The 27,976-nt window shown below is 53.5% G+C and overlaps 1 protein-coding gene and 1 pseudogene across 11 annotated transcripts, besides 3 other annotated features; one reads left to right on the top strand and one right to left on the bottom strand.

Moving 5' to 3' along the window:
- NOS2P2 (nitric oxide synthase 2 pseudogene 2) lies at nt 1,126-7,321 on the top strand (annotated as a pseudogene).
- Nucleotides 6,344-6,844: an enhancer, noted in NCBI's record as "H3K4me1 hESC enhancer chr17:18400881-18401381 (GRCh37/hg19 assembly coordinates)". NCBI's record gives its function as "activates a minimal SCP1, AML or CMV promoter by ChIP-STARR-seq in naive H9 embryonic stem cells {active_cell/tissue: H9 hESC(naive)}" and the evidence as "EXISTENCE:reporter gene assay evidence [ECO:0000049][PMID:30033119]".
- Nucleotides 6,845-7,345: an enhancer, noted in NCBI's record as "H3K4me1 hESC enhancer chr17:18400380-18400880 (GRCh37/hg19 assembly coordinates)". NCBI's record gives its function as "activates a minimal SCP1, AML or CMV promoter by ChIP-STARR-seq in naive H9 embryonic stem cells {active_cell/tissue: H9 hESC(naive)}" and the evidence as "EXISTENCE:reporter gene assay evidence [ECO:0000049][PMID:30033119]".
- On the bottom strand, nt 9,466-27,622 carry LGALS9C (galectin 9C). Of its 11 annotated transcripts, none has more exons than NM_001040078.3 (11): nt 27,518-27,622; nt 20,445-20,536; nt 18,276-18,477; nt 16,654-16,764; nt 15,375-15,470; nt 13,643-13,678; nt 13,088-13,138; nt 12,422-12,466; nt 11,866-11,954; nt 11,552-11,714; nt 9,466-10,190 (listed from the first exon to the last, which is right to left on the bottom strand). In NM_001040078.3, exons 1-11 carry the CDS (start codon nt 27,554-27,556, stop codon nt 10,044-10,046), a joined length of 1,071 nt encoding a protein of 356 aa, NP_001035167.2. In that variant the 5' UTR covers nt 27,557-27,622; the 3' UTR covers nt 9,466-10,043. The 11 variants fall into 11 exon arrangements, with proteins under 11 accessions (NP_001035167.2, NP_001425850.1, NP_001425847.1 ...); NM_001438921.1 differs by having other exon boundaries at nt 11,552-11,626; NM_001438918.1 differs by having other exon boundaries at nt 12,422-12,463.
- Nucleotides 10,942-11,041: a silencer, noted in NCBI's record as "silent region_8278". NCBI's record gives its function as "represses an Ori minimal core promoter by ATAC-STARR-seq in GM12878 lymphoblastoid cells {active_cell/tissue: GM12878}" and the evidence as "EXISTENCE:reporter gene assay evidence [ECO:0000049][PMID:35858748]".
- Nucleotides 27,623-27,976: the final 354 nt, after the last annotated feature.

The raw sequence follows: 27,976 nt of genomic DNA, 5'->3' as shown, positions 1-27,976 counted from the left end.
TTCTGAGTGGCGAGATGATGAGTGATTTTTCATTCTATTCTATATATTTTTCTATATTTTCTTTTATTCTACATGTTTTTCTGTATTTCCAAGTTTTATACAATAGTGATCAAGAAAAGGTAATTATTTATTTAAAAAGAAAAAAAAAGACCCATGAGTTATCAGAACCCAGTAGATCTAAATGGCACTACAAACACTATTGTGTTCAGAGGTGTCTCCCCTATCTAAGCAGTGCCAGGTTAGGGAACGCCGCCCATCAACGTTCTAAGCAGTGCCAGGTTAGGGAACGCCACCCATCAACGTTCTAAGCAGTGCCAGGTTAGGGAATGCCGCCCATCAATGTTCTAAGCAGTGTCAGGTTAGGGAACGCCGCCCATCAACATTTCCCAAATTCCAGGAACCATCTGTTCCATAGTGTCATATCTGTGTAGAACCTACACCATTACTTAATATTTTCATAGAAATCAACTCAGTTTTTAAAATTTGATTACCTGTGTTTTAAGAAAAATTTTAAATCACTCTAAATGGAAAAATAATGTCACTTGCCATTAATGGAAAGTAATCACAAAAATAAATGCAATAAAACAAAACAATATCATTAAATTCTACAGTGGTAAACCTTCTGAGCTTGAGAGCTGCTTTTGCTCTGTTTGATAAAAGCAGGGGCTGAGGGAGAGTGTTTTCAGGCAGGAGGGACGGATTTACAAGGGTTTGAGAGTAAGCCTAGCCTAGCAACAGACCCCTCAAAGGATTCGGGAAGATTGAAAGACAATGAAAAAGATTTTCTCACTAGAGATTTTGATTTGTTTTTAATGATTTGCCCACCTACCACCCAAACTGCCTAGGATACGACAGCTGGGGAAAGTGCCATTCAACAAAGATTTGACCCCAGCCCATGAGTTGCTGACAGTGGAAGTCACATAAGTTAGATAAGTGTACCGGACTGAGTTCCTCCAGGACAGGAACTATTTCTTCTTAAGCTTGGTAGTCTCAGCACCCTGGACAGTGCCTGGCACATGGACTTGTTTGTTGAGTGAGTGAAGAAATGAATGAATACTGGGTTGTGACAGCCTTTTCCCCAAAGCAGGGCAGGCGCCCTGAGTCGCTCACATCACCCTTGGCTTTCAGTCCTCAGAGTACAGCAAGTGGAAGTTCACCAACAGCCCCACGTTCCTGGAGTTGCTGGAGGAGTTCCCATCCCTGCAGGTGTCTGCTGGCTTCCTGCTCTCCCTGCTCCCCATTCTGAAGCCCAGGTTTTACTCCATCAGCTCCTCCCAGGATCACACGCCCACAGCGATCCACCTGACTGTGGCCGTGCTCATGTACCACACTCGAGGTGAGCCTGGGGCAGAGGCTGTGGAGCAGTCACGCTCTGCCCCTTCAGTTCCCTCATCAGTTCAAGGAGGGAGGGAACACCTACAGCCCAGAGTTGTTAATGGTAATAGGAGGCATGTGGGAGACAGCTCTATGAACCAGGCAGTAAACCAAGCCTTCTGTATGTATATGATCAGTTACCATGTAGGGTAGGTACTGTGTGCATTTTACAGGTGGCACAGAAAGTCACACTGTGAGTAAGTGGAGAGCTGAGATTTGGACCTGGGTGGTCTAACTGCTGAGTCCAAGTCTTCCACCACTCCACTGTCCCACTACTCTTGAGACAATTTAATGAGATCAGACTTGGAGAGCACCCAACCCTTGGTGAGAGCCCAGTGGTCCTTAGTCTTCCTGATTGTGCAGCCTGAACGCAGGGGAGATTCTGCACTGGCTGTTCACTCACTCACTGAGCTCATTCAGTGACGGTTTATTTCACATCTCTCCGTGCTCAGCACTGGGGCAGGTGTGGAAATACAACAGACATCAGCCCTGCCCTCAGGGAGCATCTAGAGGCAGCAGTGGAGAGATGAGTGTAGAAATAATTAGATGATTCTCATTGTCCAGAAGCCAAGAAGGAAAGGTCAGCGTCACTGAGGACAGTGAAGAGGGGGTGACGCTGCCATAGAGTGGTAGGCCAACATCTCTTTCAGGTGGTCTTGGCTCCACCACTGGCCTCTGCCCCCCGCCCTGCCCTCTGTAACTGAGTGTTGCTTGGTTTGGCAAAGCTGGGAGCTGCCTATACTTCTGAGCCCTCTGTCTAGGAAACAAAAACACAGTTTCTAAAAACTGGCCAGAGACTCTGTTTGTCCTGCTAGAGAACACCCACCCAGACCAGGAGAGGAGAGGCAGACACGTCCTGTGAGAGCAAAATTTAATCCCGAGGAAAACCAGGGGGACCTCTGCAGTTGGTTGGAGGCCTCCTGCAAGTGCTGGGCCATTGTAAAAGAAATGCAACCCAGAGAAACCTCCTGGGTTTCTACCAGCCCAGGAGGGGCAACTGAGGAGGAAAGCGAGGTGCCAGAGCAGGCTGAAACGCGCGGAGCTCATCCGCCACCCAGGGTTGCAACCAGCAAGGGCCACGCTCATGAGCACGCACAGCAGTAGCCACCCCGAGGGGCCACTTCCTGCTGCTGTCAGTGGAGCTCAGTGGTGAGCTGGGAGTGTTCCTGGAGAAACTCTTTGGAAGGAGCACTGGAGTAGGAGTCAGGGAAGCTGAGCTGTCCTGATTTCACCATGACCTGAGTGACCTTGTCCAAGTCACTCTTCCTCTCCGGGACTCACTTTCTGCGTTGAAGATGGAGCAACTCGCAACCTCTCTAAGTCCCTTTCAACCTTCCTCAGCTCTGGGCTCACAGCGGGTGGATCTCAGAACCAGGAGGACAAAGAGCTGCTCATTGAGTCCTGAGAGTGCCTGAGTGGGGGCGTCCAAGGAGGCCGTGGTGTGGGCGGAGCAGCTGGTACAGTTTGCGCATGGGCAGTGGGGGGACGTTGGTCACTTTGTGGTATCGTTGCAGATGGCCAGGGTCCCCTGCACCACGGCGTCTGCGGCACATGGCTCAACAACTGAAGCCCCAAGACCAAGTGTCCTGCTTTGTGCGGAAGTAAGCACCCCTTCCACTCTGTCCCCTGTGGGACCGCCGACCCCTGGAGGTTCGGGGAGGAAAGGGAGGGATCTGGGGTTTAGGTGCCGCTCGGGGCTCCTTGGCCCACAAAGAAGACACTGGGGTCACACTGGTGTGGCTGTCTCTAGCAGAGACAGCGATGACAGCAGAGCTGGAAGGGCCCAGAGTCCAGTGAGCTTGGCCCTTTTTCAGAAGGACCTGGGGGAGGTGCTGGTGGCTGGACAGAAGTGAAGCCGCCTGCAGGGCGTGGGAAATCAAATAGGAGCTGCTCTCCACCCGCTACGACCGCTCCCCACAGGCCCAGCTCCCCAGCCATCCTGTGTGTGCGTGGGCCCGGGGTGTCTGAGGACTGGCCCCCTCTTCTCCTGTCCTCTTCAGCGCCAGCGGCTTCCGGCTCCCCGAGGACCCCTCCCATCCTCGTGTCCTCATCGGGCCTGGCACAGGCATCGCTCCCTTCCTCAGTTTCTGGCAGCAGCGGCTCCATGACTCCCAGCAAAAGGGTGTGGCTGGAGGCTTCCCAGGTGGGAGGGTACCAGAGGCCAGCGCCTGCCTAGGAGCAGAACCGTAGCCCCACAAACGGTTCCTGGACCTCTCTGGAGGGAAGGCCTCCCAAGTTTGTCTCCCTGTGTGGGGCCTATGTGGGTGAGAACGGCCGCCTTCCTGTCTCCGGCATTGGAACCGGGGCTCCCTCTCTCGGGAGTGGAGGTAACGGGAAAGTCCCTGCTTTTGACCTCCGATGGGCTGAGGGAATCCTGCATCTGCACTTTCAGTTGTGTGACTATGTATGAGTGATTGGAATGCCCTGGGCCTCAGTTTCTTCATCTGTAAAGTGGGGATAATGCTATTAACTAGCTAGGATACTTGTGGGAGTGAAGTGAGAATTCCAGTTCGGCTTTGAGCCATAGCGCCCTGCTGGCCAACATGGTAACAACAGCCCGGGACTCCTGCAGGAGTGCAGGGAGGCCGCATGACCCCGGTGTTCGAGTGCCGCAGCCCAAATGAGGACCACATCTACCAGGAGGAGATGCTGGAGATGGCTCGGAAGGGGGTGCTGCCTGCGGTGCCCACAGCCTATTCCTGCCTGCCTGGCAAGCCCAAGGTAAATGCAGCCTCAAAGCAGGTGAAGCAGTACACAACGCAGGCTCCAGTGTGAGCCCGGGGTCCCCACAGGCCCCTCGCCTCCCTGAGCCTGCAGCTCCTGAGCTCTAAAATGCAGGTAATTCACAACCATCAGAGTGGGGCTGTGAAGACTGTTACGCCCTCTCTTCCAAGAGAAGTGACAGGACCGGAGAGGTTCAGGACTAACCTAGGTCACAGGCGGGTTGAGCCCAGAGCCCAGCCTGCTGAAGGTCGTCAGCAGGCCCCCGGGACAGGCGACTCCCCTGGGAGAGGTGGTCCAGGCCGGCTACGTTCAAACCCACCATGGCCCTCAGACGGGCTCACCTGCCCCCAGGGCCGCGTTGCCCTCTGAGCCTGAGGTGTCAGAATAGACTCTCGGCTCTCACACATTTGTTGCCATCAGGGCACCTCTCGGGCCCAGTGCTCTATGCCCAGTGCTGGGGCCACTGGGCATCCTGTGTGGAGCAGGAGCAGAGAGTCCCCGACTGACTCCTGGACCTTCTAACTGGGAAGCCCGGGATCCGTACCCTGCAGGGACCCGATGGACAGTCTGCATTGAGAGGGTACTTTTCAGGGGTGTAGGCAGAGCCCTGGGCAGGGGGACTGCCTTCATTGATGCCTCTTTGAAGCATGGCAAATTCAGAGACAGTCTGGGAGCCCCACTGGACAGTCTGCCCCTTGAGGGCAGGCCTGTGTCCAGCATTTATCTCTCTACTCCCAGCCCAGCCCCCAGAGCATCTGTGCTCCTCCTCATCCTGAGCCTGGACCTGTGCAAGGTCGTGGCTGGGAGGGGACTCACTCCACAGCCCTTAGTGCCCTCTCCCCACCTCCCTGAGGCCAGCAGTCCTGCCTGCAATCCTTGTCTCCAGTGGCCGGGAACTGGACCCACCGTTTCCTCTGGTTTTAGGTCTGTGTTCAGGACATCCTGCAGCAGCAGCTGGCCAGCGAGGTGCTCCGTGTGCTCCACAAGGAGCCGGGCCACCTCTATGTTTGCAGGGCTGTGTGCATGGCCTGGGATGTGGCCCACACCCTAGCAGCTGGTGGCTGCCTAGCTGAACTTGAATGAGGAGCAGGTCGAGGACTATTTCTTTCAGCTCAAGGTGTAATAGTGGGTGTATGGGCTGAGGGTCCTGGCCAAGGGCACAGGCTATTGGAGCCAGGACCAGGGGTGGCAGGTAGACCCAGGGGAGTCAGGCCCAGAAAAGTTCTGGACCCCAAGGGAATCTTAGCAGTGGCTGGGATCTGAGCTGGGTGGGCTGTCAGAAGGCCCCACTGCACATCCTGGACTGGTTGGCAGCTTTGAGAAGTCAGGTGAATGTGTTCCATTTTTCCATCTGTGGAATGGGAGCAAGAGAGTCTACTTGCCCTCTCCCCAAACCCCCCTTTCAGAAAGTATCTGTGTGGCCAAAGCAAGGCTGTGAACACAGGGGAGAGCAAGGCTGCCCCCCGTCAGCCTCGTGTGAACCTCACACTTCTTATTTACACACAGGCTGGCGTCTGCTCACCCTCATCCTCCCAGCAGGAAGGGCTTGCATTTTATTGATGAAGATAATAGTGATATTTATCAAGGGCTTACACTGGGCCAAGTGCTTGCCAAGGATTCTCATGTGACATTTCTTTCAGTCCTGCCGAGGACTTTATGAGGGAAGCACCCTGTTTTACAGAGGGAAGGGGGCCTATGGGGTCTACAGCAGTGAGAGCCTAGAGTTCAGTCTGCGTCTCTCTGATTCCAAAGCCTGTGATTGTGACTTCCATACTCTCCCTAAGACACATTCATACATTCAACTGAATATTTATTGAGCACCTACTGTGTGCTAGGGATAGAGCAGTAAATGAATCAGGCAAAAATTATTTACATTCCACTGGGGCTGACAAACCCAAACAAGGAAGAGGTGTAGTGCTTCGGAGAAAAACAGCAGGAAATAGCCCAGGGGACACTGGGGAGTGTAATTTTAAATAGGGTGGCCAGGGAAGGCGGAGCTGGAAGGCGGCGTCTGAGAATAAACCTGAGATGGTGAGGAGGAGCCCCGTGGATACTGAAGGAAACACTCTGGGCTGTTCTGGAGAGGGCAGCAGATACAAAGGCCCGGGGGTGGGAGTTAAGCTGGCGTGTTTGAAGAACAGTGAGGAGATAACAGGCATTTCCCCAAATGTGTTAAATGAGTCGGTAGATGTTTGGCATCCAAAAGGTTACAAGGTCGAATAGCCTAGGACATGCTTAGTTAAGCCAAGGCAAGCACGTTGCTTTACTACAAGACTTCTGGGGGCCTTCAACGTGCTGCTGTGCATCGGGACCCTTCAAGGCTGGGAGGAAAGAAAGGATGTAGCATTTCCCAAATGTGTTAATCTGAAAGCTCACACTTCCTGGAGCATCTTGGGTGGGGGATGAGCACAGGGCAGGAAATGGGAATGCCAAGTAAAGCTTTGGAAATGGTTAGAGGGCCTGCTCCAGAGCAGGTGCTGAGCGGGTTTAGGGTCTAAACCAGATTCAAGCGCAATCAAAGTATAACAGTTGGGAAGACAGATGGCTCATGAAGGTCCATGTGATAGGGAAGCTGGGCAACCCCAGGGGCTCATTCCAGCCTGGACTTGACACATTGGTCTCTGTTTTTACCTAAAAGAGCCAGAAGCACTTCCATGACGATATCTTTGGTGCTGTATTTCCCTACGAGGCAAAGAAGGACAGGGCGGCGGTGCAGCCCAGCAGCCTGGAGATGTCAGCGCTCTGAGGGCCCACAGGAGGGGTTAAAGCTGCCAGCACAGAACTTAACGATGGAGCCAGCTCTGCATTATCCGAGGTCACAGGGCCTGGGGAGATGGAGGAAAGTGATATCCCCCAGCCTCACTTCTTATTTCTCACCTCGTTCCCCATCAAGCCCTTTACTTGACCTCCTACCAAGTAGCACCCTGGATTGATCGGAGCCTCCTCTCTCAAGCTGGGGCCACCCTGGTCCCTTGGAGACGAAATCTTCAATGCCAGGCCTGGCAAGTGGGTGAAAGATGGAACCCGCTGCTGAGTGCACCACTTCAAGTGACCACCAGGAAGTGCCGTCACACCACTGTGTATTTAACTGCCATGGGTAAAATTATTTATGCCTCTGTTTAAAAAACGAACACCCTAGTCTGTTCCTAATGGCCCCTTGGGTCTTCTCTGTATGATTCCCTGATGGAGATATTTACATGCATTGAATTTTACTTTAATCACACTGTATGTGTGTTTGTTGGGTGGGCTGGTGGGGGATGTTTTGTAGGGAATGTGGCCCTCAGTTATAGAGTGGGGAGCTGGTGGGTGTCGCAGCCTGGACAGATGCCCCACAGAGGGACACCCCAGGCAGGCCACGGCTCCTCTGAAATGGCTGCCAGGTGTGACAGCAGCAGATGGAGCTTCGTGCTGGTCCAAAGACCTGCGGTAGGGTGGACGGCACAGGCCTGCCTCCCACACAAAGGATCTGACGTGGGGTCTGGCAAGAGTGGGATTCTCATATGAGGCCAGAGCTTCAGGGAAGGTCTTGAGCTTCTTCTTGGACACTGTCTTAGAAAGGTTTTGCTCTGGGGCCACCTGTCTCACGTGAGTTTGGCCAGTACAGATGTGGCCTCTGGGAACGCAGGGTGTCAAAGCGAGTGTGGGCCACAGCATCCTCGCCCAAGGGACTGAAGACCCTCCTGGGTTTGGAGACGGCCAAGGAAGGCTTTTTAAGAGACTAGGTCCATTTCCTTCTCCTGGTCAGAACCAAGGAAGGAGCTCAGTGGCGGCCTCTGGGGTCCTGGCAACACGTGGTTCCCAGCTGGGGTTTGGCCTGTGCCTCCTGGGCCAGGCCCAGGACCCTCCCCCTCCCCTCCTCCTTCCAGCAGCAGCGTCTCAGGTGGCAGGAGAAGGTGCAGTGCCAACTTCAGGCTCCAGACGTGCCCTGCCCTGCGTGGCAGCCGTGCATCTCAGCAACACGGCCAGGAGTCCGCTCCGGACCAGGGCTTCCCCGCTTTCATGTGCGGGCCTCATCTGGGGTCCCGTGAAGACAGAGACTCTGATCTCGCAGGTGGGGTGGGGTGCGGGATGCTGCGTTTCCAACAAGCTCTCAGTCGCTGCTGCTGCCACCACTCTGAGGACTACACGGGGGCCTGAGGAACTGTATTCTTGCTGGGCCAAGCAGGATGTATTGGCATCACGTTGACGCGGAGCTGGGCTGTCTGGCGGTGGCTCAGTGGCTGGCAGAACCCCACACATGGACACTGAGCCACTTTTCTCATGCGAGTCCTAACCCTATTGCCAGGGAGACCCACAATGGAACACACACCCATACGGTGCTTCGGGTCGGCCTCTCCTGACACCCCTTCCCCAAGCCACCTCCTCCCACTGGGATGCCAGGTCCGAGGAGCCAGCTCTGGCCCTGCTGTGGCCCTCACAGGCTCTGCCCCAGCCCGCCTCCCATCTCAGAGGCATGGGGCTGTTTCCTGGGGTCCCCCATTACCACCTTTCCTGTGTCCGAGACTCCTGCCCAAAAGACTAGAGCCCCAGCCTGCTTTCTCCAACACCCTCATGGGACGGTGGCTCTCTTCTCATAGCTCCCCTAGACACTGGCCCAGAGGGGGCTCTGTGTGGGGGCTTCAACCCCACATTTCCCTTCCACACTGCCCTGGTGAAGTCATCCCTGAGACCTGATAATTCTAGACCCTGTGGCCACCAGAGGAGCCCATGCATTGGCTTCCTTTTTTGTTTTTTTTTTTTTGACAGAGCCTTGCTCTGTCACCCAGGCTGGAGTGCAGTGGTGCAGTCTCGGCTCACTGCAACCTCTGCCTCCCGGGTTAAAGTGATTCTTGTGTCTCAGCCTCCCAAGTAACTGGGACTACAGATACCCACCGCCACCACCACCATGCCCAGCTCGTTTTTCGTTTTTTTGTTTGTTTGTTTGTTTTTGAGATAGAGTTTCACTCTTGTTGCCCAGGCTGGAGTTCAATGGCGCAATTGCGGCTCACTGCAACCTCCACCTCCCAGGTTCAAGCCATTCTCCTGCCTCAGCCTCCCAGGTAGACGGAATTACAGGTGTGCACCACCACGCCTGGCTAATTTTGTATTTTTAGTAGAGATGGGGTTTCTTCATGTTGGACAGGCGAGTCACGAGCTCCCAACCTCAGGTGATCCACCTGCCTCAGCCTCCCAAAGTGCTGGGATTACAGGCGTGAGCCAGCATACCCGGCCATTAATCCTTTTTTAATTAGGAGTTGTGAGGTCAGGACCCCCTGCCCAAAGGGAGTCCATGCTCTCCCATCCCACTCCTCTCAGCAGCCCCTCCGCCTGATTCCACAGATTCCAAAATGTCTCCAAATGAATTAAAGAAGCCACAGTCAACCCACATGAATGTGCCAACAAGCATTTTCATTTCTTTATTTTAAGGACACTGGGAAAGGAGCCAGTCCCCTGAAGAGAACACTCTGGTCAGTTGGTGGAGGCCAGTGGGAAGCCATCAGGCCTGCTTTCCAGGAGGGGTGAAGGGTTGGTGCAGGGTGCAAGGTGAGAGTGAGGTTAAAGGTCAGAGAGGAGGGGCTGAGGAGGCCATCTCCCACCAGGAGCAGACAGCTGGTGGCTTGAGACTGGGGTGGAGCTGCGTGGGGGATGGGAGGGGACTGAGCATGGGGCTTCATCTTCACTGCCCACTCCTCCCCTCTCCCTGGCTGTGCCCGCCTTCTGGGATTGTAGGATTCCAGCAGCTGGCGCCCCAGGTGCTGCTGCGGCTGAGGAAGGCAATCCCAGTCAGCTGCCTTCTCGATTCCAGGGTGGCTGTAGCCAGAAGCAGGACCAGATAAGGACATGGCCTCTGCATTAAAGCCCAGATCCCAGGCACGGTTGGAAAGGCTGGGCCTGGGAAGTGGGGATGATGAGAGGACCCAGACTGCCCCACACCCCAGCCCCCGGCCCCAGGGCCAGGGAGCCGCCTATGTCTGCACGTGGGTCAGCTGGATGTCGCCACCCACTTCCAGTTTGTTGATGGTGGGCAGGTTCCTCAGGCGATGGTAGTATTCAAACACGTGCTGACCATCCACGGCCACCTTGAGGCAGTGAGCTTCACACAAGATCCACACCTGTGCAGAGATTATGCCGTTTGCACTACACTTGGGAAGTCCTCCACCCTCACTGCAGCCTCCTCTCTCCCTCCCTCCCTCCCTCCTCAGTTGTTAATAAGCCCCTCACCTGCACTCTATCCCCACTGAGCGACCGGCTCTTCACTAAACAGGCTGTGCGTGCTCCTTCCCCTGTACTGTTCCCTGGCGTAGAATACTGTTCCCACGACATCAGGGACAGGAGCACTGGCCTGTGCCATCTGTATCCCTCGGACCCAGCACACAGGAGTGCTCTGGGCCTGGGCTCCTGCAGCATCAGCCTCCTAACTTGTCTTTTCCACCCCAATGCCTTCTCCATGAGGCAGTCAGGGTACAAATGTTAAAACCTCCTGCCCTTTGCAATAGCTGACACTCCTAACACACATGCCATGTGTAAGGCACTGTCCTAAGCGTGCTACAGATACTGCCTCATTCCATTCTTACAGCTCTAGGAGATTCATATGATTATTAGCTCCATTTTGTAGATGAGGAAACTGAAGCACAGAGTAGCTAAGTCACTTGCCCGAGGTCACACAGCTGTCCACAAATCAAAGAATGTTGCTCCCTGGCTCCATGGCTGCAAAGCCCTACATCAGTCATTTTCAACTCTGATTGCAGAGTGTAATCACTTCAGGCATATTTTAAAAATACAAATGCCCAGGCTGACCGCCTCATTGGCCTGGGCTGGGGTCCCAGCACCTATATGTTCTTTGTAAGCTCTCTGGGTGATTTGAATGTGTAGTCAGGGCGGAGCACGCCTGCTGCTGTTCCTGGAGAGGCCACACCCACACCTCTGCATGTTGGCCCTAGCTGCCCCTCCCAGGCTCGCTCTATCTCATCGCTCTGTTTTGCTTTCTGCGTGGCACTGTTGTTATCTGCAACAATCTGTTCATGCTTTAGTTTCCTTGTTCCTTCCCCCAGCTAAATTGTAAACTCTCTGGAGGAAGGACCCTACGTGTCTGCTTCATGACTGCGCTCCCAGCATGTGGAGTGCTTCCTGCACAAAGCGGGCGACAGTGAAATCGTTGAATGAGTCAGTGAAGAAATGAATAACACCTCCTTCTTGGGTCTGATTTGACACTTACTGACTGTGTGACCGCAAGCAAGTAACCTGCACTTGTGAGTTTCTTTCCTCATCTAAAAAAGCAGATCCCAACGCTTCCTTCATGCAGGACAGTAATAATTATTAATAATAATGACAATAATTTTTTGGCCACCTTTTCTTCTGGGCCCTCATCCCAGAGGCATCAGCTCCCATCCTGTTCAAGGTACCCCAGACCTCCTTTACCCCCTCCCCGTGTACCCATAGGAGCCTCCTCAAGCTCCAGGCTGCGGCGCCTTACCGAGAAGCTCTGGCCTCGGACGAAGGGCATTTTTCGGGGCAGACTTCGCTCCTCAGACCCCCAAGAGTTGTTGATCTGGGTGTTACGGACCACAGCATTCTCATCAAAACGGGGGTTCATGTGGAAGGCGATGTGGCTCCCAGAGCACAGGTTGATGTGGAACCTGGGGTGGGCAGCCTACCTGGACCTTTGTCCACTGAGTTCTGAGCCCCATTTCCTCCCCATCATCCCCAGCCTGCCAAAAGCCAGGGGAATGGCTGGAATGACCTTGAAGGGCTCTCTCTTCCCAGAGGTCACTGGAGCCTTTGGCTTACCTCTGAGCACTGGGCAGGACAGTGCCTGACAGGATGATGGACTTGGATGGGTACAGCCCTCCCGGAATGGTGGTGATGAAAGGCATCGGCTGTCAGAAGGACGGGGACAGGTCAGCCAGTGGCAGTCAGGGCAGCCGCCACATGGAAGGGGAAGATTGTACCAGTTCCCATGAATTTAGGCTGTCAGCTGAGAAGAAGCCCACGATATCTTTCCTTGGTTCCATAAAAGCCAAAGGAAAACTTTCCGGTGCTCCTCAAATTAATGGGCTTAGATTAGTGTCATGAAAGGAAATTTGGCCAAACACAGAAAGAAAGACTCGTGGGGTGAAAAGGGAGGGCCATGCAATGTGCTCACGTTGACACGACAGTTTTAAGGTTGAAAGCTCCTCTCCACAGTCTTCTAATTCACTGGGACGCTTTGAAGCCCTTCAGCTTACCATTTTGAAAGCCCTTCGCTTTTCATTTTTCAAGGCCAGCGGATCCCCCCGTAGCGGCCCTTCATCCCTAGCCTGCCCACCACAAACAGAACCTCTGCCCTCCCTGAGAAACCACTTACATAGGCAGGGTGGGGGTACATCATAGGTGGGATGGCGGGAGTCTGCTGAAAAGAAACCAGGAAATTCAATGGGAGAGCGCATGTGTGCGCGAGCACTCACCCACGCGCACCCACGCATTCTAGAGGGGGCTCCACTGTGAGGCTGACCTCATGAGCCTTTGGCCCTTGGACTCTCCCGTAAACCTCCGTTTTCATGTTAGCCTTCCTGGAACTTCCTGCCGTGTTCCCAGACCCCACCATGGTCACCTGCCCCTCAGCCCCTCCGCAGGCAGCCCCACTAATGCTAAGTTCCCGGCCTGATTTGCACCAGCAGGAGAAGAGCTTAAGCCTGTGATCTGTAGTGACATCCCGGGGACCCAGGAGGCAGGGCCAGGAACCTCACATCCGGGTGCTGGGGCCACTGCACTCCCCACTTGGTGACAGAAGGACCAGTTTCCCTCCCAGTCTCTAGGGAACCTGCCTCTTCCACCACTGGATAAATCCAGAATCTCTGCTGTCCCAAGGATAGTTTTAACCACATGTCACCTGAGCCAAGGACTCAGCCCCAGATGTCCCCACCCTCCTTGCTAAACCGCTTTCTTCCCAACTCTAGGGCTCTAGGGAGTTTAGTTCTTGGGGAAGGAGGGCACTGTGCAGCTGTGAACTGATCAGAACTTGAAGACTTACAGAGAACATCTGTCCAGAGGCACTCTGCACCGTGTGGATGACTGTCTGGGTCTGGAAGAAAGAAACCAGGTCTCACCCAGGCTCTCCTGAGTAAAGACCACCCCAGCTCCCACCAGAGGGTGCCACACGGCAGGCACCCTCCAGGGGCATAACCAGCCCAGTGGCCCCACAGACCCCACGGAGGGTGGGTCCAGGGGACGAGGGAGAGGCAAAGGTTAGGACCCTGGAGAAGACAGATGGGGACGCTGGTGGCTCTGGCCCATCTTTCCTCTCGGGGAAACGTCTCTCAGCCTAGCCTCCCTTTGCAGGTGAGAGAAGTGAACGTGGGGCATGGTCTTCCGTGGCTGCCCATGGAGTGGCAACTCAGGTTGTTCCATCACGGCCAGCCAACCACATTCACCCACCAACCTCGCCAGGCCGGGTAGATGGTCAAGGGCCTGGCCTCTGCCCTCCCCACTCCCGATGGGAGAGGCCCAATGCCTGGCCCTGCATCCTCCATTAGCCCAGAAGAAGAGCCAAAATCAAGAGGATCCAAAAAGAAAGCAAGAGACTTACAATGGGAGCTGGGTTGGCAGGCCGCACGCTGGGAGGCTGGAGGGGTGAGGAGAGTCAGAACGGTGGTTATTGCGGGCACCACAGAACGGGGAGAGACGATGGCAGAACTCCAGGGAGGCTCTTGTGCTCAGAAATGCCTCCCCAGACACACCCACCTCCCTCTTGCTCCCAAGCAAGCCTTCCTGAGCCCGTGGCACCCAGATTTTTACCCTCAGGTGCACAAGGCTTTGGGGTTGAGGGGTAGGGTATCCCCACTGGTTCCTCTCGAGAGAGAGGAGGCTGGGTTTGATAGAGACCTCATTGCTGTCTGTAGCTCCCACAGCCAAGAGCATTACTTCCGGTGCCATATTTCACCCGTAAGCTGAGAAGTGGTATTTGTTGAAGGCCTATTGTGGGCCGAGTCCTGGGCTTCAGTGCTTTCCAAAGAGGGAAGCAGCCTCAGCTCCTGTGTCCCTGGTGAGGCAATGAGGCTCAGAAAGATTAAGCAACTTGCCCAAGCTTGCCCGGGTGGAAGGGATCAAATCCAAAATGGCAGCCAATTCTGTCTGACTGTATCCAGCACACTTTCTGTCATCCCTAGGGCCAGGGCCAGCGCCAGGGCCAGGGCCAAAGTTTGGCTGCCCTGCGAATGTTCCCTGGGGCTCCACCAGTCCTGAAGTCAGCGTGGCAGGAGGCAGGTGCACTGTCTGTACCATCATGGGCCATAAAAAGGCTACATAGACAAAGCGCCCCTCCTCCCAGTCCCCACTGCTTGAGTGGCCAGAGGAAGGGCTGCCCACCTCCTTGTCGTGGATCCTGCCCCACCCAGTAGACTGTTCTTGCCCTGGCTGGTATCCCATTCTCCCTGGCTGCGAAAACCACATTCCACATTCATCCATTCTTCGAGTCCCTAAGTGAGTGCCAGGCACTGTGCAAATGAACGACCCACAGTCCCAGCCCTCTGGGGCCTCATGGGCATAGGGAGATGGGGGTGGAGTGACAGGGACAGACACGCAAACAGTTACAATGGGGTGCTGTGAACTGGCATGGCACAGATATGTACAGACTCCGTGGGGGCATGGGGGGAGCATCCAACAATATTCTGGGCAGGGAGGACTCCCAGAGGAGCGACACTTTGGCAGAGCATGGAAGGGCGATTAGGCGTGTGCTGAGGGCAGGCTGGCAGAGGGTGCTTCCGGGACCAGGGACAGCATATGCAAAAGCATGGTGGCCCGAGAGGGCCTTGAGTGAGCCGTGGAGGTTGCATGAGCTTCGTGGGTTGGGGGTGAGGCAAGGAGGTGGACTGGGGCCAGACTGGGGAGGAATTCGTATGCCCTGCTGGGGAATTTGGGCTTTGTTTAAAGGGCTGGGGACTTTTAAGATTTTTAAGCAGGGAGAGAGTGTGATCAGATTTGCTTATAAGAAGGTCACTGTGGCAGCGGTTGGGTGTGGGGGGTGGGGAACTGGACCCCTGTAGTCATGGTGAGGAATCCCAGAGGCCTGGGCCACATCGGTGGCTTTGGGAGGGAGATATGTTGGTGCCTTGGAGAGACATAAAGAAAGGGTAGTGAAGAATCCAGGGCAACACCCAGGTCCCCGGCTCTGGGTGCCCAGCAGACAGAGACAGGGAACTCTTGAGTGGGCAAGATGTGGCCCATAGGCCCTGGTGGCCTGCTGGCTGGGGCCAGCCTCTCAAACCCTCGGTCCTTCCTGCTGTCTGCTCAGCCACCCAGGGCCTCTGTGTTGAACTCACTTTTTGTCTGCGCCCCCTGGGCCTGGGTGGGAAACAGACAGGCTGGGAGAACGGCACCGTGGAGAAGGCAGGCTGAACGGGGACTGCGCGGGGATTCTGTTAAAACAAAAGGCACCGGCCGGTGAGGAGAAGCATTAATAGAGCCAAGGAGAAGCCGAAAGGCAGATGCAGGGGCAGGAGGCAGAGAACAGGCAGGCAGGGGGATGCAGCAAGGGGGTTAGGGCCACACGGAGGCGGGAGCGGAAAGGGCCAGGCTTCGGTGAGCAGCGCAGGGGGACAGTCTCCCTCCAGCTCTTCCCTCCCCTTCCACCCGCAGGGGAGAGAGTCAGGGAAGGAGGGAATGAGAGATGAGGACCAAAGGGTGAGGAGCCCAGATTTGCTGAGGGCCTACTGTGCACTTCGCTCATCTCAGGGAGCTCCCTTGAATGCCAAAAGGGTAACAGCAGCTCCCATCCAGCTGCCGGTGCCCTGTGGGAATGTGGGCCCAGCATACCCTAATCTTCCCATTTTTCACGTGGTGTTGGTATCTCCTGACCTTCTTTAGTTTTATTTATTTTATTTTATTATTCAAACAAAAAGATTTTAGAGATGGGGTCTTGCTATGTTGCTCAGGCAGAACTCTAATTCCTGGGCTCAAGCGATTCTCCTGCCTCAGCCTCTTGAGTAACCAGGATTGCAGACCTCCACCACCATACCTGGGTCTCCTGACCTTTTAGATGTTGGCAACGCATTCAAAGTTTTTAAAACACAGAGGTCACACAGACCCTGGTGTGGGCCCAGGGGCGCCATTGTGTGACCTCTGATATCTGTCTCCTCAATGAATCACACAACCACCCATGGGGGGCAGGCAATGACCATGCTCATTCTACAGATGACAAAACTGAGGCTGAGAGAGGCAAAGTTGCTTGTCTAAGATCCCACAGATGACGAATGGCAGAGCTGGGAATTTGAACTGGATTCAGTTTGGTTCTTGAGCCTGGGCTCTTTCTAGAACAATATGCCCTCCTTACCAGGATGGAAATTGACGGATGAAGAGAAAGGGGCAGCTGAGGAGTCTGGGAGACCAAGGCAGGTGTTCCAGACAGAGACAGTGACACAGAAGGAGGGGCAGAGTGACAGAGGAGAAGGGGCGGGCAGGTACTGGGACAGGGAAGCAGAGGTTGTCCCCAGAGTGACCTGGGTAGGAGATTGGCTTGGGTCCCCCCAGCTGGGCCTAAGCACAGCTACGCTGGGCCCTGCATCCCAGCCCCTGGGACCGGTGCCAGGTGGACAGTCTGACCTGGAAGCTGATGTAGGACAGCTGCACAGAGCCATTGACGGAGATGGTGTCCACACGGTGGAAGGGCACGCGGTGGAAGTACTGCACGAAGAGGCTCCCGTTCACCATCACCTGCCAGAGGAGAGCACGTATTTCGGGGGAGGTGCCCCAGGCCGGGATGGGGACCACCCCTGAGCTCCTGGTCCCTCCTTCTAAAAAATGAAGACCTGAGTCTGGTCTTCAGTGTGGGGCCAGTTACAGGGACGTGTGTGTGGCCCGAAGTGCATCAACCGGAGTCTCTACTGGGCTCCAGTCGGGCTTTCCATTCTTCTGGTTGTTTCCTTCCCCTTTCTTCTCACTCCTCGATTTCCAGCCTGGTTAGGAGGCCATATTGTTCCAGAAAGAGCCCATGCTCAGGAACCAAACTGAATTTCCTGGGGTTTCATTTATTTATTATTTTTCCTTCAACTTTTTTTTTTTTTTTTTGAGATAGAGTGTCACTCTGTCAGCCAGGCTGCAGTGCAGTGGTTCAAGCGATTCTCCTGCCTCAGCCTCCCGAGTAGCTGGGATTACAGGCATCCACCACCACACCAAGCTAATGTTTGTATTTTTAGTAGAGACGGGATTTCACCATGTTGGCCAGGCAGGTCTTGAACTCCTGACCTCAAGCCATCTGTCCTCCTCACCCTCCCAAAGTGCTTGGATTATAAGGGTGAGCCGCCGTGCCCAGCCCCTTCAACTTTTATTTTAAGTTCCAGGGTATGAGTATAGGATCTGCAGGTTTGTTAACTAGGTAAATGTGTGCCACAGTGTTTTGCTGCACAGATCAACCCTTCACCTTGGTATCAAGCCCAGCATCCATTAGCTAATCTTCCTGATGCTCTCCGTCCCCGACCAGGCCCCAGTGTGTGTTGTTTCCCCGCTTGTGTCCATGTGTTCTCATCGTTCAGCTCCTACTTATAAGTGAGAACTTGCGGTGTTTGGTTTTCTGCTCCTGCAACGGCTTCCAGCTCCATCCATGTTCCTGTAAAGGACATGATCTCATTCCTTTTTAGGACTGCAGGGGTATTATTTAAATATGCATAAAATGCTCACGGGGAGCAGAGGAGAGGTGACATCGGGTTGCATACTGAATGGATGGGAACATCCTTATCTCAGATAAGCATATTCAGACTGAGTTACCCACCGGCTTCTCAAGCCCAGAGACCTACTGTGCTTGCAAAGGTAATTTGCAATGTGCTTACAGAACTATAACCGTAATAGACTCTGGATAAGGGCTGGAACAATGTCGCTGAAAAATAAATGTTACCAGGGACCTGGAGAGGAGGTATGGTGATAGCAGAGGAATGGAATGAGCTTGGAATTCAAAGACACACAACACCTAACAGCAACGTGATGACTCCTCTAGTTCTTATTTTCAGAGTAAAAGAAGCAGGAGGTGCACCTGTAGATTCAGGTGAAGGTGCGTAAGGAGACTACACAGCCATGGGTAACACCCTTACAAGGAAATGGTCATGTTATCTGTATGGTGGTGTCACTCTGGCTGAATGTCAATTAAAGTGGTTACTTAAAAGGCCATTCACATTCACCTGATAGGGCTGGGAGTCCCGTGGGCGAGAGGTGGGGAGGGGATTCCTGCTTACCTTGAAATCTGAGCTCTGCACCAGGAAGCAGAGGTCAAAGGGCATCCCCTTCTGGAAGGGCATGTGCATCTTCCTCTCCTCGGGCCCCCATGTTCCTTTCTGCCTCGTGTTGCACACCACATACCCTCCGTCTTCAAACCGAGGGTTGAAGTGGAAGGCAATGTCGTTTCCACTGAAGCCCGTCTGAAAGTCCACAGCAAACCTAGGCCCAGGAAAAGCAAATAGTCTTCTGTGGCATGGATTATTGCCAGTGACAGGCACAGGAGGGCCTCGGTGCCTCTGCCCTGTGTTTGTCTGGGATCTTGCATACAACCTGCGTGGCAGAGACTGCTTGGTTGGCATCCTTTTTGTTTCTCTAATTTGGATCCAATGTGTTTTTGTGCGATTATTGCATTTTGCCTTTACAGCACGATTTTCTAAACATAAGTAGAAAATGGCTAAGGGAAAGTGCTGGCATTAGCAAACAAGAAGCATAGGTCCTGGAAAGTGATTACCAGTTGGTAACAAAGATGGAAGTTGTTAAGCACACCTAGAAGAGAGAGGCTTCTGTGCCAGTGGACACTTGTTGGAGGCCAGCACATGCCTGATTAAGTGCGAAAGAAGAGAACAAATGTAAAGAGCATGTGAAATCGGGGCCGGGCGCAGTGCCTCACGCCTGTAATCACAGCACTTTGGGACGCCAAGGTGGGTGGATCACTTGAGCCCAGGAGTTGAAGACCAGCCTGAGCAACAGAGCGAGATCTCATCTCTACTTAAAAAACAAAAAGATATATATATATATTTAATTAGCTAGACATCATGATGCATGTCTACAGTCCCAGCTGCTCTGGGGGATGAGATGGGAGGATCCCTTGAGCCCAGGAAGTCGAGGCTGCAGTGAGCTATGATCGTACCACTGCACTCCAGCCTGGGTGAAAGAAAAAAGTCCCTGTCTCTAAAGAAAAAAATAAATTAATTAAATGAATAAATGGAGAAGATTGCATTTGAAATATCACTGCATGTATTTTTTTCCTTTGGAGACCTTCAGCTTCATTCCTGTGGCCCTTTGGAAATTCCTGCCCCAAGGAAGGGAGAGACAGAAAGCTCCTGAGAGGAGAGGGCCCTCTGAGGTAGGATCTGTCTCCGTGCAACAGGATGGGAGTGGGAAGCCCTCCTGGTGCTGGGAGGTGGGGGAAACAGAGGGAGAGGGAAAGAGGAAGGGGTGGAAGATCAGAGGCATGGTTCTGATTCCCCCGGTTGGAGGATTCAGGGGGATCAGGGCCTCCCTGCCCTTGGCATCTCCTGGGGGCACTGCAGGCTCTCAGAGAAGTCCGACAGCAGGATGGCAATGGCGGAGGAGGTCATCAAGAATCTAGGTGGCGGAGCTGAGGTTGAGCTGGCATCTACGAGGCCCAGAGGGTCTTAAGAGAGGTCCGCTGGGACTGAGGCAGAGAGGCTTCCGAGAGAGAGCCATGAGTCCAGAGGCTCTTCTGTGGGCCCCGCAGACTTCAGCAGGCAGCCACCCGTGGTCCCTCACTAAACCAGGAGAGAGCTGCACACCTCTGTGCCACCCAGTCAGGATGCCTCGGCAGGGGTCAGCCAGGCCTGCGTGAGGGTCGGGGGCCCTCCCAGCCACTGACAAGCCACGTGAGCTCCTCTCTGTTCCCAGACAGCCCACCTTGGGAGGGAGGAAGGGGTGGGAAACAGCCCTGATACAATGTTAGTATTTTGAATGGACTTAGTAGTTTCCAGAAAAGGCCTTGAAACCGAAAGAGACCAAATTACTTCGGATGTCAATTTTCAGTATTTTCATGTCAGCAGAAGGAGAGCTTCAGAGTGGATGAGAGCAGTTATGGGAAACGGAGGAAGTTTGATTTTTGCAACTCTCAGTCACAGTGTGCAAGGTTCAGCCCAGAACATAATCATCCAACTCTGACCATCCCACTCCTTCCTTAGACCTTCAGCTCCCAGGGCCCCATTCATCCTGGAGTCCAGGTTAATGGCATCCCTGGGTGCAGGTTGTGCCTGTGGAGTGCTGTCCTGTGGCATGGGTTAAGGATGCATTGGGTCTCCCCTGCGCCAGGCACGTGAGCTTGGATGTTGTTGTTTGAACTAGCCGAGGCTCACAGGCACAGTGGCTTTACTAAGGGACGAGGCTGGAGTGAAACGTTTCCATCCATATACACACACCTGGTTCCACTGCAGCTGAGAACGGCCCCATTGACAGTGATCTGAAATCCGTCCTGGAGACCCCCTTGGATAGTCCCAGAAAAGGGGACGGCCTGCAGGGAGAAGACATGGGGCCTCAGTCAGGTGGCCGGCCTCCTGTTTGCTCCCCTTCGGGGCTAGTCAGTGGCTGGCCTGGGTGTGACCGCACCATGCGAGGGGCTAGGGTGCAGCTGTGACCAGGACAGAAGGAGTCTCAGCCCCACGGGTCTTAGGGTCCTGTGTGGAGGCAGACACAAATCCAATTAGTTACTCAGACAGTCTAAGCTTGTGATAAGGAGAATCCTGGCCCTGAGAGGACGCGACAGGGAGCTGAGCTTGTGTGAGAGTCTGAGAGGCAGCGGAGGCCACACCAGGAACGCTCCAGGCGGAAGGCCTTCCTTCCAGGCAGGGAAGTAGCAGGCAGACGCCCTGGGCTGGTAAGGAACTAGGTAGCAATGGGGCTGCTGGACCCCATGCCAAGCTCCCAGCAAAGTGCCCAGCGCCCTGGCTGGGGACTCAGGAGGCCCAAGGGAACAAAGGGGCCCATCAAGGGTCTGCAGGTTCCACCGAGAGGGTCACCAGAGAGTGTCAAGAAGAAGGCATGCACCTCTCCCCACCACCACCATATAACAATGGCCACCGTGACCTTTGCCCTCCTGACCACCTTCAGCAGAGCCTCTTCCCAGATGCCCTCCGCAGCCCCGAGCCCCAGCGTAGTTTCCCCACCCATCCCAGGCCCCGTGGGCAAGCACTTTGTCAAATTCTCTCTTCCGCGCCTCTTTAAAGGAGCTATGGGCCATGGTGAGGCATGCATCGTTTTGGAGTCAGGCCGACTCCAGGTCTGAATCCTAACTCTGCTGCTCCTGACCTGAGTGGCCTTGGGAAGCCTATTTCACCTCTCTTTGCCTCAGTTTCCTCATCTGTAAAATAGGAAGGTGTTTCTCCTACTGCATATGATTGATGATTTTGTGAGAAAAAGCCTGTGGTAGAAGAGACTGGCACAGAGGAGACGCTTCACCACTGTCACCCACCCCCCACCTTGGTCTCTCTGAGCAAAATTCACAAACTGGTACTTCCAATTTTCAAAGTTTATTCCGAAATGCCTCATATCCGGTGTGGTTCTATAACCTGCATTAAAGCACAGTTCTATCTCATGGCTGATTTTCACATTCTTCAAGTTTTTAATGTCTTCTCTAATATCTCCTTTAGGTCAATTTCCTACACAAATTAAATGCCTAAAGAAGCCAGGCAGGTGATGTGTATGAGTCAGATGGCCAGGTAGGGAGTGGTGGGGACTGTGGCAAAGTAGACGTCACACGCCTCATCTAAAAAGTCAACATCTTCTCAGCACTAACCAATGATTACCGTCTGGGCTTAGTATTGGCAGAACTTCCAAATTTTTAAGATGAGACAGAAACCTGAATTTTTTTTTTTTTTTTTTGTAAAACTTTCTAATTTCTTGGGGGAAATCTTTTGTCAAAAAGGATTATGTAAAAGTTCCTGACTGGGCACAGTGGCTCACATCTATAATCCCAGCATTTTGGGAGGCTGAGGTAAAACAATCACTTGAGCCCAGGAGTTTTAGGCCAGCCTGGGCAACATAGTGGGACCCCCATCTCTACAAAAAATAAAAAAATTGGCCAGATGTGGTGGTGCACACCTTTAACCCCAGTTACTTGGGAGGCTGAGGTGGGAGGATCACTTGAGCCTGGGAGGTCGAGGCTGTAGTGAGCCACGATTGCACCACTGCACTCCAGCCTGGGCAACAAAGCGAGACCCTGTCTCAAATGAAACTCCCCAAATTCCCACATTGTAGAGATACACAATGAAATATTTACAATGGAATGAAATCTCTGGATTTGCTTCCGCATATCTGAAGGTGGGAAGAGAAGCAAGCGAGGGAGGGTATAGGATGAAGCAAGATAGGCCTGAGTTGATCATTGTTGGAGCAGAGTGATGGGTGTGTGTTGTTGATGGTACAATTCTCTCTGCATGTTTGAATTTCCTATAATAACAAGTTAAAATAAACACTGTGCAGGCCAAACAGAAAACACCCACTAGCCAAATTCAGCCTACTGGTCACTGCTTTCTGGTCTGTATTGTTGAGTTATGTGACCACACAGCACCCTGGGAAACCCATCCTAGCTCAGTGTACACACCTGGCACCGTGAAAGCCCCAGGCAATCTGAGATCTGATCCAGATAGTCTCTGCTCCCCATGGATTTGAGGGGGTTGTCTTTTCTTGCCCCTCAGGTCAGGTCTGAACTCTGCCATTAAATACTTTGGTGACCTCAAGCAAATCACAGCTTCTCTGTGTCTCTGACTTCTCTTTCTTGTCCCTGTCTACACCAGCGGTGTGGGGGAAGGAGAGTCAGCCTGATCCAGTTATGGGCCAGCATGGGCTAGGATTGGGAAGCCTGTTGTCCCTGAAACGCGTCTGTGGAAGATTTTTCCCCTTGCCTGTTTGTGGCAGCCTGTGATTCCCTCCAGAGCCTTTCATTCTATCATGAGAGACAACGCTGAAAATACACACCCTCCTGGGAAGCATGCGGCCTCCACTCAAGCGTATTCACACCACAGCACCTAGAATTGAAGGCAGAGAGTGATGGACATGGGCTCGCAAGTCCACACAAGGCTTAACTAAGGAAGCCAGGAGGGAGAAAGACCAAGTACAGGTCATGGGGGCAGGACAGGGCAGGCTAATCTCCAAGGCAACAAGTTCCCCAAAAAAGTTCTGTGAGGTTTCAAAATGTCTTAAATGGCACCCCCAATTTCTGAAAAACAAGATTATTTTATTATTTATTTTATTTTATTTTATTTTGAGATGGGTTCTCACTCTGTTGCCCAGGCTGGAGTGTAGTGAGGAGTGTGATCATGGATCACTGCAGCCTCCACCTCCTGTGCTCAAGTAATCCTCCCACCTCAGCCTCCCGAGCAGCTGAGACCAAATAAGTGCAGGCCACCAAGCCATGCCCCACTAATTTTCAAATTTTTTTGAAAAGACCAGGTCTCGATATGTTGCCAGGGCTGGTCTTGAACACCTGGGCTCAAGTGATCCTTCTGTCTTGGCCTCCCAAAGGGCCGGGATTTCAGACATGAACCACTATGCCTGTCCTGAAAAATGAGATTTTAAATTGAATATCATCCAACAAACAAGGTTATTCATTGCAGCATTATAACACAAAGGATTATAAAGCAAAGCATTGGAAGGAGCCTAAAAGTCTTCCAACAGGGAAAAGGTGAAATAAATTAGGGTATTTCCATATAATAGAATAAGTTCTGTGTAGCTTTCAAAAGAAAAGAAAAAGAAGACGGAAAAGAAAAAAGAAAAAGAGGAAAACTCTGAGCACCGATATGGAATAATGCCATTTGCATAAAAAGTGGGTAGGGGAAGGCTATGGACTTGCATTTATTTATTTATAGATAAAATATCTCTGGAAGGATTTACAAGAAACTTATAATACTGGTTATCAGTGGGCGACCCCCCAGAAACATCCACATTCGAATCCCCGGAAACTGTGAATATGTTGTAGAAGGGACTTTGCAGATGTGATTAAATGCATAATTTTGGCATGGGGAGATTGTCTTGGATTATACAGGTGGTCCCAATGTAATCACAAAGGTCCCATAAAAGGGAGCAGGAGGATCAAAGTCAGAGGTAAGAGATGTGACAACAGAAGCAAGAAGCTGGTTTTGGGGGTTTTGTTTGTTTGTTTGTTGTGTTTTTTTTTTTTTTTTTTGAGACAGGATCTCATTCTGTCACCCAGGCTGGAGTGCAGTGGCATGATCTCAACTCACTGCAGCCTCCACTTCCCCAGGCTCACGCGATCCTCCCACCTCAGCCTCCCAGGTAGCTGGGACTACAGGCATGCACCACCATGCCTGGCTAATTTTTGTCTATTCTTTGTAGAGACACAGTCTCAGTTTGTTGCCCAGGCTGGTCTCCAACTCCTGGGCTAAAGAGATCCTCCTGCCTCAGCTTCCCAAAGTGCTGGGATTACAGGCATGAGCCACTGCACCCAGACAAAGCTGCTGGTTTTAAAGATGGCAGGAGGGGTCATAAGCCAAGGCAGGCAGGCAGCCTCTAGAAGCTGGAAAAGCAAAAGAAACAGATTCTCCCCTGGAGCCTCCGGAAGGAGACAACCTTGCTCACACGATGATTTTAACATCTGCCCTCCAGAATCATTAAGAAAGCAAATTTGTTGTTTTAAGATTGGCCAGCCAAGGCTGCTGTGGAATTTAGATCCGTGTGTCCAGGAAACCCAGGAAAACAACTGGACCTACTTTTGCTCCGTAGGGTGCAGGAGGATGGATTTTTGTGTTGGATTTGTGGTCCCATGGGCCTGGGCTCGCCTCCCAGCTCTGTACACTAGCAATTCTGACACTGGCCAAGTCACTTGACCTGCCTGTGCCCCACTTCCCTCCTCTGAATGGCAGGGCAGTAACACCACCCGACAGTGTTCTGGAGAGGACTGGAAGCAATGCTGTGTGCTGAGTCCCTGGCTGGCAGCATTCTGGAGAGGACTGGGTGGAATGCCATGTGCTGAGCCCCTGGCTGGCAGCGTTCTGAGAGGACGGGGTGCGATGCCATGTGCTGAGCCTCTGGCCCATGTCGGCCTTGACAGTGCAGCTCTTTGCATGGAACAAATCAATCCCTCTGCTGAGTCAGAACTTACTCTCTGTTCCTGGTTGTGCCCAGAGACCGGGGACTTTCCCTCTTCTTCCTACCTGGAAGTCAAAGCAGAGCTGAGCCCTGCGGACCAGAATGTGGGCAGCCTCATTCTGGACTCAGCATCACCAGAGGACACCAAGGCCTGGCCCCAGGAGTAGGGAGCTCAGCCTGGCTGGCCGAGACTGCCTGCCAGCTGGAGCCAGTACGTGGCCCTTAGCCAAAGTGCCCTGTTGCCTCAGAGGCTCCACGGTCCTGCTGGCCACCTTTCATGACACTTTGATTTTAGCCTTCTGACCTCCAACACTGTAAGCACAAATGTGTTGTTTTAAGTTGGCCAGCTAAGGCTGCTGTGGCATTTGGATCCATGTGTGTCCATGAGGGCTCTGGGGGTGACCGGGAACATTTATCCTCACAGCAACCCCGGCCACTTTTACAGATGAGGAAACTGAGGCACAGAAAAGTTCAGTCACTTGCCCAAAGCTACACAGCTGGTCGGCAACAGAGCTGGGATTTGAACCCCAGCACCCACGCTTCTAACCACCACACAGGCTTCCTCTCATGAGGAAGCTCGGAACGTCCTTATTCCTGGCTCTCGCAGTGCTTCCTGGGCCACACAGCAGGTGGTTCCAGCTTCCCCCCAGCCCTCCAAAGAGGCTGGGCTAGATGAGGCCAGACAAGAAGTGGGAGTGAGGTTTCCAAGCCAGGCCCTCATGGCACTCAGCCCTCCTCAGCAGGACATGAACCGCGTGACCTTCCCCCACTGTCGGCATGTGGAGAAAGCGTGACTCCGACTGCCAGATGGGTCACCGAGTGAGGCTCAAGTGTCCCAACCCAGGGGAGCCCCCGTAGGGTAGAGGGGAGCTCTGGACACCTGTGGGGGCTGCACTGATCGTCTTTCTTGTCTGAGCTCCAAGGCCCCGCTTTAACTCTCTCAAACTCTCTGATGTGCATAGGAGGATTTTCCTTCTGAATCCAAAGATTAGAAAGTAAAAACCAGTTACCAGAATAATAATATGTCAGAACCTGGAAGAAGCTCTGGGATCCCCTCTCTGACAGAAAACCAGAAATGGGGTGACATGCTCAAGGTGGCACACGCTGACCCTAAGGCTCGCCCAACACCGGCAGCCCATTCCAGCTTCCCCCACTCCCTCTATGCAGGTTCTACCTTGGGGGCTTCCATAGGGTGGCTGAGGGGTCATTGGTGACAGCCAGGAGGAAACAGGCCTCCTTTCTCCATTCTTCCTCTCTGGAGTCTAGAAAGCAGAGCTGAGCTCTGCAGACCAGAACATAGGCAGCCTCATTCTGGACTCAGTATCACCAGAGGGCACCCAAGCCCAACCCTGGCCTCTGCTGAGGTGGCCCCTGGCAGCTTCCCTGCCCTCAGCACCCTGCCTCTGCCCACCCTCCCCATTCTGCCTCCCCACTCAGGAAGGGCCCATCAGCCCACCCACTCCAGCCCCTCGGGAAGCTCTTTGCCAAGGCAGGGTGAGATCCTGTGACAGGACCCAGCCCAGGACACAGTCACCCCTGAAGGCTCCTGGGCTCCTGGGGCTGCCACTCCCATCTGGGGGCATTTGGCAACTGGCCTTTGCCTCCCTGAACCTTGGATTTTCCGTGAATGAAGGGGACTCATAAACCTCACAGAGTTTCAGCAAGGCACCTGCAGCCCTCTGACCCCACACTGCAGGGACAGTCCCTGCCTCCGTCACCTCTGAGACTGTCCGTCTACAGATGCCCTGACATGCCTATGCCTGGTTAACTCCGCCTCACCCTTCAGAGCACAGACACCTCCTCGGGAGGCCTTCCCTGCTGCACCCAGACTCCCAATAACATGAAACACTCCCAAAGCACCTACAGTGTGTCAGGCACTGTTCAAACACTCTAGATACACTACTTCCTTAATCCATATCCCAACCCTGGGAGTGGGGGGCTCAAGTATTATTCCCACTTCACAGATATGGAAACTGAGGCCCAGAGACCACCAGCCAGTAAATAGCTGGACCCAGGGAGGCCAACTCCACAGTACGCACCCTTAACTACCATGCCGGGTAGCATCCTTACTGTCCCAGAAGCATGCTTGCTTCCTCTTTACACAAACCATCCCACTCTACACCTCTTCCCCTGAGCGCACAGGACAGGACAGGACAGCTCAGCCAACACTGTCAAACCCATGACTCATGGGAGGAGCATCTCTCCAGGCATGAGTGAGCTCAGCATGGCACAGCTGTGCCAGGACGACCCCCACTGACATTTCTGCCCTGCTTGTGTTCTCTTTGGGATGCCCCCACCCCTATCTCCTGCCACCCAGGAGTTGCTTCCTCAGAGCCCCAGAACTGTGTCCCCCTGGCTGAGGCAGCCCTGTGCCCACGGCCCCGGAACTCACTGGGCTCAGATAGGGAGCCTGGCAACCGCTGAAGGCCATCTCTCCACCGCCTCTGTGGCCACCACTGCCTTTGACACCTGCCAGGCAGTCCTTTGCAGAAGGAATGACTTAACAAAGTAATAGAAACCAAAGCAACTTGGCTGTTATTCAATGGGGAGGAGCCGGCAGCAAGAGGAAGTGGGTCCAGAGAGAGAAAGGTAGGGTGTTGGGTGAACTGGGGTGACACTCATAGAGGGAAGTAGGCACTCCCAGCCCCAGTGACCTTTCCCTCCTCCCTCTCCTGTGCTCAACCCAAGCCTGAAGCATATTTGGTTCATAGAGGTCTACAATGCTTGACCACACTGACATGACAGTGAGTTGCCAGATGACACTGCCCAGAAGTATGTGGCTGTGTGTCCTAAGCATGCTTGGCCACTGGTTCCAGAAAATAATGGGGCTGGGTATTGCCTGTGCACAGGG

The sequence above is a fragment of the Homo sapiens genome, chromosome 17, assembly GCF_000001405.40.
Source record: "Homo sapiens chromosome 17, GRCh38.p14 Primary Assembly".
Taxonomy (NCBI): domain Eukaryota; kingdom Metazoa; phylum Chordata; class Mammalia; order Primates; family Hominidae; genus Homo; species Homo sapiens.
This window is presented reverse-complemented; position numbering and strand designations above follow the sequence as displayed.

Coding starts and splice junctions, on each gene's coding strand:
- LGALS9C (NM_001040078.3), bottom strand. CDS start 27,556: ATGGCCTTCAGCGGTTGCCAGGCTCCCTATCTGAGCCCA. Junction 20,537..27,517: donor AGGCTCCCTATCTGAGCCCA/GTGAGTTCCGGG, acceptor TTCTCCCTGCAG/GCCGTCCCCTTTTCTGGGAC. Junction 12,467..13,087: donor CCTCTGGACAGATGTTCTCT/GTAAGTCTTCAA, acceptor GTTTCTTTTCAG/CAGACTCCCGCCATCCCACC.